Below are 12,762 nucleotides of genomic sequence, written 5' to 3' on the forward strand. Positions count from 1 at the left end.
TTGATACATGAGTTTCTTATCATTAAAAAAGACTAAAGGAAGAATGAAAGGGAGAAAGAGAAAAAGAAAGAAGGAGGGAAGAAAAGAAAGGGAGAAGGAGGTAAGGGGGATGGAAGGTGGGAAAGCAGGCAGGCAGAAAGGCAGGAGGCAAGAAAGGCTGAGGTAGAAACATCAGTGGCTCAGCTGCTAGTGAAATGAAGTTAGCAAATACACCAAGAATTAGGACTGGGTTCTGTAGTAGTAAATATAATTTTAACAGGTTCCAGGAGATAATTATGTCTTCCGTCTATACCTGTGCTGCCGCTGCTCCTCCTCAGACTGTTGGTGAAAAAGTGGTCAATCTATTACTACTGTTACTACTTCTCAAACAACCTCCTCTATACAGCTCTCCCTGAGCTCCCCCAATGCCTCACCATCCACTGCTGCCCAGAGAAAAACGACTTCTCCTTCTTTTCACACACATATTACTGCCCAATATACTCCATATTATACTTATTTCTTTCATATCAGTCTCTCCTAGTGTACTCTAACTTTCTTGAGGGTGGGACTATCTTTTTCTTAAATAATTTATTATTTTTCAACAGGAAATTAATGAATATGGTTCAAAATACAGAAGGCTCAGACAAAAATACAATGCAAAATAAGTTTCCCTCCTCTACCCCTGTTCTATTATTTTTTCCTGAGTCAGCCGTGGTTAATTTATTTGGAATTTTTCCAGCAATAGTCTAGTCCAATAGGTATGTATGTATGTATATATACATAATATGTATGTATACATATTTTCTTACACAAATGGTCATATATTATATACACTCTGTATTTTGCCTTGTTTCCTCCACCCTCCTAACAAGTCCTTGGAAACTGTTCCATATCAGTGTAGACTACACTTCCTCATTCTTTTCAGCAGCTAAGCAATAGTTTACTATGTGAACATACTATAATTTATTTCACCAGTACCCTATTAATGAATGTTTAAGTTGCTTCGAAGCTTTTACTACAGATATATGTCTTCATATTCCCAGAGACTATCTTAGTATCTTACGTGAAGTAAATACTAAAAAGTATTGTTTAGTAAAAGAATGAATGTAGGGCAGGAAGGATATGGTGAGTAGGCTTTAAGTAACATTATACTAAAAGAAGCCTAAATTTCCATGTTAATGTATGGAATGAGAGGAAGGATATAAATTTCTATCCAGTGTATGTACCTAAAAATTAAAAGCGTATATATATTTCCTTTTATAAGAAAGCATCCTAGCCTACTAAAGTAGTTTGAATCTTTCTCTCTTACCTTTGATATTATCTAGTTTGTGCCATTCACAGACACAGCAGGTACACTTTCCTCATCTTCCTATAATAAAATGATTATCACAAATTTACATTATGTCAGCCTTTTTTTTTTTTGAGACAGAGTCTTGCTTGTTGCCCAGGCTGGAGTGCAGTGGCATGATCTTAGCTCACTGCAACCTCTGCCTCCCGGGTTCAATCAATTCTTGTGCCTCAGCCTCCCAGGTAGCTGGGAAAAGGTGTGCATCACCACGCCTGGCTAATTTTTATATTTTTAGTAGAGATGGGGTTTCGCCTTGTTGGCCAGGCTGGTCTTGAACTTCTAACCTCAAGAGATCCACTCACCTCGGCCTCCCAAAGTGTTGAGATTACAGGTGTGAGCCACTGTGCCTGGCCACTGTGCCAGGCTTTTAAAGAAGATATATATCTCTCTTTTGAGATAATAACTAGGTGGTCTTGGGTATACCACATCTCTTTTGAAACTACTTTTTAATCACTTTGTACTCTGAGATGTGTGTGTATGTATGTGTGCATGTCCTTCTGGTGTATTAATGTTAATTCATGTTTAAAATCATAAAAGCAATATTTGCACATTGCAAAAAAAGTTAAAAATTACAGAAAGGTATTAAGTGGAAAGTCAAAGTTCCTCCGCACTTATCGTGGTAGGCTGAAAATGCCCCCTCATCCACCCTCACCAAAAGATATCCATGTCTTCATCTCTAGAACTTGTAAATGTCAACTTTATTTGGAAAAAAGACCTTTGCAAATATGATTAAGTTAAGGATTTTGAGATTAGTGGCTTATCTTCAATTATCTCAGTGAGCCTTAAATACCATCACAAGCATCCTTAAGAAAGAGGCTGAGCAGGATTTCACATGCACACACAGAGGAAAAGCTGAGGTAAAGTCAAGGGAGAGGTTGAAGTGATGCAGTCAAAATCAAGGAAGGCTGGCAGCCACTGGAAGCTGAAAGAGGCAAGTAACAGATTATCCTCTACAGCCTCTGGAGGGAGTCAAGCCCCACTGATATCTTGATTTTAGCCCAGTGATTCTGATTTTGGACTTCTAGTCTGTAGAGCTGTGAGAGAATAAATTTCTGTTGCTTTAAGCCACCCAGTTTGTGCTGGGTTATAGCTGTCATAGGAAACCTATACAGATTTGGGTACCAGAAAGTGGGGTGCTATTGTAACAAATACCTAAAAATGTAGACGTGGCTTTGGAACTGGAAAGCCTGGATTGTCTTGAACAGACATCTGGTAGAAATGTGGATGTTAAAGATCCTACCAGGGAGGGCTTAGGAGGAGCATATTAGAGAGAACCTGTATCATCTTAGATAATGCATATATCATCATGAACACAATGTTGGTGAAAAAATGAGCATTAAAGGCATTATTTGCAAGGGCTCAGAAGGAAATATAGAACAAGTTTTTAGAAGCTGGAGGAAAGGCGTTCCTTGCTATACAGTACCAGAAAGCCTAGATTTGTCCTGCAAGTTGTGTGAAAGCAGAACTTATAAATGCTAAACTTAGAGGTTTGGCTGAGGTGATTTCCAAGTTAAGCACTGAGAGTGCAACCTGGTTTCTTCTTGGGGATTATAGTAAAATGTGAGGAGAAAAAGATAAATTGAAGAAAGAACTGTTAGGCAAAAAGGAACCAGAACTTGATGATTTGGGAAATTCTGTCCATCAAGATTGGAAAAGATGGTAAAAGTTGGAGATTCCTGTAAGAAAAGTGTGCTTTGTAGAGAAGGCCAAGGGCATAGCTGGAAAACCTTTGTTAATGCTGAAGAGAGTAGGAATGTGACTCATGGACCCATTCAACCATCTTAGCAGAAGCCAGAAATATAGGTGGGCCTGTGGAAATATCTGTGAAAGATCCTGTTGTCTAGTGGCATGAATCCCTGATCTATGAAAGACCCTGTTGTCTAATGGCATGAATCCCTGTGACACACGGTAAACTCACAAGGTTTTTTGAAAATGCTCTGTCTGCAGAAACACTGCATCTTAGACTGAAAGAGAGAGAATGAAATGAAGAACTGCCAAGATTTTAGAGACAGTAAATAGGTTAATGAAACTACTCACCTGCAAATGTATGCTACCCTTCAAAAGAAAAGAAAACACCAAGAACAGAGAGTTAGCAATGAGTGAAGAGTAACAGATGGCTGTGATATAATAGAGGCAGACTACTCAGAAGCTTAGGAGATTAGCGAATAGATAGTCAAAGAGAGCCTGGCTAAAACTATAGTCCATCTTGGTGGCCCAGAAGAATGTTGTGTATATCCAAGGCAATGTCCTTTGAGGAGATGCTAGAGAAGAAACTTCTGAGTTACTGGTCCCTGGCTAAATGTAGGCCAAACTCAAAACTCCCTGAAGAATGAACATAGTCTATAAGCCACACCAGATCCAACAGTAAAATGTAAAAATCTTTCTGATTCAGGAAGGTTAAACACAACCTCTAACCAATCAGTAATTGACCACTAAATGGTCTTGAACCAAGGGTATTCTGTTGGAAACCAGGATAAAGATAAAAACAAGAAAAAAATTTTGCAAACAGGGTCACAAGACTGCACACTGTGAGGGAAATAGACTTCACAACTTATCAAACAAAGAAGCAACCCAAGTTGGGCATGTGGGTTGGGGGACTCAGGATCCAGAGTTGCTATAATACATTATCTTAAATGTCCAGTTTTGGCCGGATGTAGTGGCTCATGCCTGTCCCAGTGCTTTGGGAGGCCAAGGCAGGAAGATAACTTGAGGCCAGCAGTTCTAAACCAGCCTAGGTGACACAAGCAAGATTCCATCTCTACAAAAAATACAAGTAAAAATAATTTTTTAAAAAGCTGGGTGTGGTGGTGCATGCCTATTGTCCCAACCACTCAGGCAGCTAAGGCAGGAGGATCACCTGTTCCCAAAAATTCGAGGCTGCAGTGAGCTATGATCACATCACTGCACTCCAGCCTGGGCAACAGAGTGAGATTCTGTCTCAAAAGAGAGAGAGATAGTGAGAAGGAGAGAAAGACAGACATGAAAAGAAACACTAAAGTATGACCCATACACAGGATAAAAAGCAGCCACAGGAACTGCTTTGAGAGGGCCTATATGTGCAAAAAAACACTCTAAAACAGCTATTATAAATATGTTCAAAGAGCTGATGAAAGCCATGTTTAAAGAATTAAGAAAAAATATGTTGATAATTTATAAAATAGAGAATATTAATAAACAGAAAGTTTTAAAAAAATCAAATGGAAATTCTGGAATTCAAAAGTATAATAACTGAAAAGAAAAATTCACCAGAGGCCTCAACAGGAAGTTTAAGCTGACAGAAAAAAAGAATCACTGAATTTGGAGAGACAGATTAACAAAGATTACACAATCAGAAGAACAGATTTTTAAAAGAATGAAGAAAAATGAATAGAACATCAGAGAAATATAGGGCACCATTAAGCACAACAACATACACATTACAGGAGTTCCAGAAAGACAGGAGAGAGAAAAAGCAGCAGAGAAAAATATTCAAAGAAATAATAGCTGAAAACTTGCCAAATCTGATGCAAAGCATTAATGCACACATCTAAGAAGCACAACATACTCCAAAAAAGATAAACAAAAGGGATATATATCTAGACATAATCAAAGTCAAAATGTTAAAAGTCAAAGATAAAATCATGAAAGCAGCAAAGGAAAAAGAACTTATCATTTAGATAAGAACCCCAATAAAATTAGTATCTCACTTATTAGAAACAATGAGGTCCAGAGACAATGGGATGAGACAGTCAAAATGCTGAAAGGAAAAAAAACTGCCAAGCAAGAATCTTATATCTAGCAAAACTATAAATGAAAGCAAAATAAAGACATTCACAGATAAAAAAAAAAAGCTGATAGAATTTATTGGTAGAAGACCTGCTTTAAAGGAAATACTAAAGGTAACTGGGCTGAAAGCAAGTGACAATAACTCAAATCCACATGAAAAAGCCTATGAATAATGGTAATTATACAGATAATTATGGGAGATAATATGATTGTATATTTATTTTCCTTTATTCCCTTAACTGATTTAAAAAGCAATGGCATAAAACAATATGATATTGTATTACAAGGCCTATAACATTTATAAATGTAATATACTTGATAATAATACCACAAAAGAGGCAGATCAGAATAAAGCTGAATTGGAGTAAAACAATGATACCAGTTGGTAACTTGAATCTATAGGAAAACATGCACAGAGCCAGAAATGTAAAATAGGAAGCTTAATAAAATAAACTCTATAAATAAATACTTGCTCTTCTTATCTCAGCTTCTTTAAGAGACCTAAGACCATATAAAGTAATATTTGTAACAATATATTGTATTTATAAAATATACAAACATAATATGTATAACAGTAATAGAACAAAAATAGGGAAAAATAATTTTGTTATACGGAAACAATGTTTCTATATCTCACTGGAAAAAGGTTAGCATAAGAATGAAGTCAGTTCTGATAACTTAAGAAGCCCTAGAGCATCCACTAAGAGCATAACTCAAAAATATACTAAAAAAATCATTAAAGGAATTAAATTGTTACACCAGAAAATATTCACTTAATGTAAAAAGAAAAGCAGTATAGGTGGGAAAAACACAAAAAGATGAGATAGACTGAAAACAAAAAGGGAAATGGCAGGTTTAAATCCAACCATATCAATAACAACATTAAATATGAATGGATTAAACAACCTAATCAAAAGGCAGAGATGGTAAGATGTGATTCTTTTTAAAAATATACTATCTGAGACATACATTGGATTCAAAGATAACAAACAAGATGAAAGTCAAAGGATGGAAAAAGACATACCATGCAAATGGCAAAAGAGACCTGGAGTGGTGGTCTGGTTTGGCTCTGTGTCCCCACTCAAATCTCATCTTGAATTGTAATACCATAATCCCCACATGTTGCGGGAGGGACGCAGTGGGAGATAATTGAATCATGGGGGCGGTTTCTCTATGAACAGTGTTCTCATGGTAATGAATAAGTCTCATGATATCTGATGGCTTAATAAGGGGAAATCTATTTCTCTTGGTTCTCATTCTCTCTCTTGCTGCTGCCATGTAAGAAGTGCTTTTCCCCTTATGCCATGATTGTGAAGCCTCCCTAGCCACATGGAACTATAAGTCCATTAAACCTCTTTCTTCTGTAAATTGCCCAGTCTTGGGTATGTCTTTATCAACAGTGTAAAAACAAACTAAAACAGTAAATTGGTACCAGTAGAGTGGGGTGCTGCTGAAAAGATACCTGAAAATGTGGAAGCAACTTTGGAACTGGCTAACAGGCAGAGGGTGGTACAGTTCGGAGGGCTCAGAAGAAGACAGAAAAAGGTGGGAAAGTTTGGAACTCCCTAGAGACTTGTTGAATGGCTTTGACCAAAATGCTGATAATGATGTGGACAATGAAATCCAGGCTGAAGTGGTCTCAGATGGAGATGAGGACCTTGTTGGTAACTGGAGCAAAGGTGACTCTTGTTATGTTTTAGCAAAGAGACTGGCAGCATTTTGCCCCTGCCCTAGAGATTTGTGGAACTTTGAACTTGAGAGAGATTATTTAGGGTGTCTGGTGGAAGAAATTTCTAAGCAGCAAAGCATTCAAGAGGTGACTTGTGTGCTGCTAAAGGCATTCAGTTTTATACAGGAAGCAGAGCATAAAAGTTTGGAAAATTTGCAGCCTGACAAGGCAATAGAAAAGAAAATCCCATTTTCTGAGGAGAAATTCAAGTCAGCTGCAGAAACTTGCATAAGTAATAAACAGCTGAATGTTAATCCCCAAGACAATAGGGAATATGTCCCCAGGGCATGACAGAGATCTTCACAGCAGCCCCTCCCATCACAGGCCCAGAGGTCTAGGAGGAAAAAATGGTTTCATGGGCCCGGGCCAGGGCCAGGGTCCCGATGCTGTGTACAACCTAGGGACTTGGTGCCCTGTGTCCCAGCTGCTTCAGCCATGGCTGAAAGGGACCTATGTAGAGCTTGGGCTGTGGCTTCAGAGGGTTCAAGCCCCTAACCTTGGCAGCTTCCACGTGGTGTTGAGCCTGCAAGTACACAGAAGTCAAGAATTGGGGTTTGGGAACCTCTGCCTAGATTTCAGAAGACGTATGGAAATGCCTGGATGCTCAGGCAAAAGTTTGCTGCAAGGGCAGGGCCCTCATGGAGAACCTCTGCTAGGGCAGTGCTGAAGGGAAATGTGGGCTTGGAGCCCTCACAGAGAGTCCCTACTGGGGCACTACCTAGTGGAGCTGTGAGAAGAGAGCCACTGTCCTCCAGACCCCAGAATGGTAGATCCACTGACAGTTTGCACCATGTGCCTAGAAAAGCCAGAGATACTCAACACCAGCCCATGAAGGCAGCCAGGACAGAGACTGTACTCTGCAAAGCCACAAAGGCAGAGCTGCCCACGACCATGGAAACCCACCTCTAGTATCAGCATGACCTGGATATGAGACATGGAGTCAAAGGAGATCATTTTGGAGCCTTAAGATTTGACTGCCCCGCTGGATTTCGGACTTGCATAGGGCCTGTAGCCCCTTCATTTTGGCCAATTTCTCTCATTTGGAATGGCTGTATTTACCCAATGCCTGTACCCCCATTGTATCTACAAGGTAACTAACTTGCTTTTGATTTTACAGGCTTATAGGTGGAAGGGACTTGTCTTGTCTCAGATGAGACTTCGGACTGTGGACTTCTGAGTTAATGCTGAAATGGGTTAAGACTTTGGTGGACTATTGGGAAGGCATCATTGGTCTTGAAATGTGAGGACATGAGATTTAGGAGGGGTCAGGGGTGGAATTACATGGTTTGGCTCCATGTCCCCAGCCAAATCTCCTCTTGAATTGTACTCCCATAATTCCCATGTGCTGTGGGAGGGACCTGGTGGGAGATAATTGAATCATGGGGGCAGTTTCTCCCATACTGTTCTCATGTTATGTTTTAATGAAAAATCTACTTAGATACCACAGCCCAGGTGCTAGGTATGCTCATTGCTATTGGATGTTATTGCTTTTAGGTATTTTCAGTGAAATATATCCTTTTAGAAAGGAAAAAAAAATCTTGAGTTCATACTGATATTTTCATTTCCAACTTCATTGTATAGATTTATGCTTAACTTTGGTTCTCCACCTACCTGTATGTCTTTTTTTAAGCTAAACATTTGTTTCTTGATACAGTAACTGAATTACCTATTTCTTTATCATCTAATATACTTACAATATTACTGTTAACAATGCCAGTATTACTATTAACAATGAAACTACTAACGATGTTTATTTTGGTAGTTCTTTTTGTTAGAGTATATTCCATTAGGGATGAAGAGAAAGAATACTGTCTTTTGAAGTACAAGTTTAATATTCTTTATTTGAAATGCTTGGGACCAGCAGTATTTAGAATTTTGGATTTTGGAATATTTGCACTACCCTATGGGTATGATGCAGGCCTTTTTGACACTTTCAATAATATATTTATACCACAGAGCAGAAAATAAGCAAAAAACCCACAGTGAGTAATGCACATAGGTCTTGGCCCCATGTGGGGCAACGTGGGGAACCTGGTGTTGGTGTGTCTGATCTGAACGTGTGCTATTTTATTACCCTTTGTGGATGTGCTTGCATGAAGGAATCTGGGCATGTCCAGAAAAGCTGAATTGCAGCTGAAGGGAGCTAAGAGGGTCTTTTTCTCTTAGGGTGACTGAATAAATTGTATGTTGTGTGCCAGTGTGTTGACTGCAATCATCATATGAAATCAGGTGTGAAATTTTTCACTCATGGCATCATGTCAACACTCAAAAAGTTTTGGATTTCTGATTTTTCGGTTAGGGATGCTCAACCTGGACTTGAAAGAATTTTATTCTCTATCCTACTAACTTCTTATGTAAGAAAGTCAGCTGATTCTAGAGGGAGGAAAGTACTTGAATCAATAGTATGATCAAAGGTGAAAAGCCATGGGCAAGCTTTAAGTAGAAGTGTATTTCCTTAAGGGGCCTACTGTTTAAGCTAAATAAGTGATGACTGTGATGCTAGCCACTTACTGAAATTTCTCTTCTTGTTCCAGTTAAGAACCCCTGGTGGCTTTAAAATATGTCTGTAAATTTAACATTCCTGCCTCCAAAGGTAGAGCCTAATTTCCCTCCTCAAGAGTACAGGCTGGAGTTTTAGTGGCTTGCTTTTAACAAATAGTATATGGCAGAAATGACAGTATGTGACTTCTAAGGCTAGGTTAAAAAGTATTGTGGCTTCCTCCTTGTTCTCAATCTTGATTCATTAACCCTGGGGGATGCCAGTTGTCATACTGTGAGGACATTCAAGCAGCTCTATGGAGGGGTCCATGTGGCAATGAACATGGCTCCTGCCTGTAGCTATGTCAGTGAGCCACCTTAGAAACAGATCTTCCAACCCCAAACTTTTTGTTGATTGTGTTCCCAGTCAACATCTTGACTACAACCTCATGAGAGACCCTTAGACAGAACCAACTCACCTATGCCACTCTGAAATTCCTGACTCACAGATACTGCAACATGATAAATGTTTATTATTATTTTAAGTTTTGTGGTAATTTGTTAGGTAGCAACAGATAACTAATACAGAACCTAAATGTAGGTTTAAAGTAGGTGGACACTCACTGAAAGTCATTTATTACTCTTTGGTGAGGAGAGAGCTTTTTAAAGGTAGAGAGTACATAAGCAGGCGTCAGAATTCCAAGTATTGGGCTACAGAGGAATTGGTAAGTGTAGATAGTTGGCGAAAGGACTGCCAAAGTATTAGTTACTGCCAAAGTAATGTATTCACTCCCTTGGGATCACCAACTGGATTTCCAGAAGAGTGAGGCTCTAGCTTCTGCCTTTTCCCTTCCTCCGTACCTTTTTCTCATGCTCCTTGATCCTGAATTTGACACAAAACATCCAGAGATAAACACCACAGCTCTTATAGCAACCTCCTTATAAAACTATTTTTCCTGAAAGAAACCAATGCATTCTGTATTTTCTTTGCTGAACAAAATGTAAATATCCAGGCATAAATTCTTTATGTTTTGCTTGTATATGGCTTGTATATGAATTATAGATTTAATCGTATCTACCATTGCTTTCAATTTCCCTAGCTGGCCTTAAATTCCCAATGTAAAGTAGTTTGAAAGGTAGAATTTTTAGGTTGCTGTGTCTTAATAATTTTTAAGGGATTTGACTGTTATTGTCCCTGTGATATGTATGGCATTTTTCTCTCCAAGACATTTTATAGCTTTTACAATTAGATTGTGTCCTTTGTTGTGATTCAATGTCTTATGCTTTCAGAGTTGTAATTTTTTGTACCCACTTCCATGGTATGGACCATGTGATCATAAAGGTTTAAAGTCCAAATACTCCAAAATCCAAAAAAAATTCAAAATCCTAAACACTGCTTGTCCCAAGCATTGCAAATAAAGAATATTCAACTTGTACTTCAAAAGACAGTATTCTGACTCTTCATCCCTAATAGCATATACTTTAAGAAAAAGAACTACCAAAATAAACATCATTAGTAGTTTCACTGTTAATAGTAATACTGGCATTGTTAGTAGTAATATTGTAAGTATATTAGATGATAAAGAAATAATTCAATTACTGTATTAAGAAACAAATGTTTAGCTTAAAAAAAGACATACGAGTAGGTAGAGAACGAAAGTTAAGCATAAATCTATGCTATGAAGTCTGAAATGAAAATATCAGCATAAACTCATGATTTTTTTTCCTTCTAAAAGGATATAGTTCACTGAAAACGCCTAAAAGCAATAACATCCAATAGCAATGAGCATACCTTGCATCCAGACTGTGGTCTCTAAGTAGATTTTCCATCAAAACATAACAATTTACAGAAAATATGTGAAGAAATAAGCTAAACAATACCACAAAGATAAAATGAGCCAAAACCAGAATTTGGGAAATTCTATAGGACAAATAAGCCACTTTTTTCAACAAATAGGAGACATAAAAATCCTAAAATATAGAAAGGACTGTTGTAGATTAAAACATATTTAAGATACATAACAAACACATATGATGTATGAGGCTTAATGTATTCTAATTCAAATTAAAACTTTCTATAAAAACACATATTTTAGATAACCTCAGAAATCTGAATATAGACTGGATGTTAAATGGTATAAAGAAACTTAACTTTTATTAGGTGAAATGATATCGCGAGTATGAAAAACTTTTTCTTATCTTTTAGAGGTTTGGGCTCAAGTATTTATGGGTAAAATAGTATTATGTCTGGGATTTCTTTAAAATACTCCAATAACAAAATCAGTTCATGTTCTAGCCAAACAGTCCAGAGTTCTACCACATAATATAATGTATAATCAATTTTCACAAGAGAGTTTACTGCAAGGCCAGGTGTGGCAGCTCCTGCCTGTAATCCCAGCACTTTGGGAGGCCTAGGCGGGCGGATCACTTGAGGCCAGGAGCTCAAGACCAGCTTGGTCAAACTGGTGAAACCCCATCTCTACTAAAAATACAAAAACTTAGCTGAGCATGGTGATACATGCCTGCAATCCCAGCTACTCAAGAGGCTGAGGCACAAGAAGCGCTTGAGCCTAGGAGGCAGAGGTGGCAGTGAACCGAGATCACGCCACTACACTCCAGCCTGGGTGATAGGGGGAAACTCTTGTCTAAAACAAAAACAAAAACAAAAACAAAAAAGGGTTCACTGTAGACACACATAAAATGAATAATCACCATGTCTGAGGCCTATTCTTTCAATATATGTGAATCCCCAAATCAATGCCAACAAACCCCTTCATTTCAACATCCCATACACTCACAGATTACAGGATACTTCAAATAAAAACTTTGTTAAAGTTTTGATAGCTTATTTCAATGCCATTACCTTTACCTACTAACAAGGTAAACCTAATAAAAGAGAAATAAAGGTTAGTCTGGCATGACTTGTTCTTAGTGATGCCTATGATTCCCAAAGAGCACTACATTCTTGCCTATGTCTTCCAACCATATATTTAATAACTTTTTGCACATTTTCTAAGGAACAACATTGAGCTGATCATTTGTAATTCTCAAATTCTAACTTTTCCACTCTTTAAAAAATGTATTTATTAACAGTTTTATTAAGATGTAATTCACATGCCACACAGTCTACCTATTTAAAGAATATAATTCATTGTTTTTTAGTATATTAAAAGGGTTGTATAACCCTCACCACAATCTAATTTTGGAACATTTTCATTCCCCCTAAAAGAAACCCTTTAACCATTAGTTGTCACTCACCATTCCCCACCCTCTAGACCCCCCATCTCTAATCTGTCTCTATAGATTTGACTATTACGGATATTTCAAATTAATGGAATGGTAAGATGTGGATTTTTTTTTTTTACTGCTTTTTCACTTTTAGAAAATAGGATATTATCTTTTAGTATCTCTCCCATAAAACAATTAAGACCTGTAAGATAATATATTCTAGTTCCTTCAACAC

General features: G+C 37.8%; 1 protein-coding gene across 15 annotated transcripts in view; it reads right to left on the reverse strand.

Moving 5' to 3' along the window:
* Window positions 1-12,762, reverse strand: part of ANKRD31 (ankyrin repeat domain 31) — a 168,582-nt gene that overhangs the window by 86,228 nt on the left and 69,592 nt on the right. The gene's annotated exons all lie outside the window — the stretch shown is intronic.

Source organism: Homo sapiens, chromosome 5 (assembly GCF_000001405.40).
Source record: "Homo sapiens chromosome 5, GRCh38.p14 Primary Assembly".
Lineage (NCBI taxonomy): Eukaryota > Metazoa > Chordata > Mammalia > Primates > Hominidae > Homo > Homo sapiens.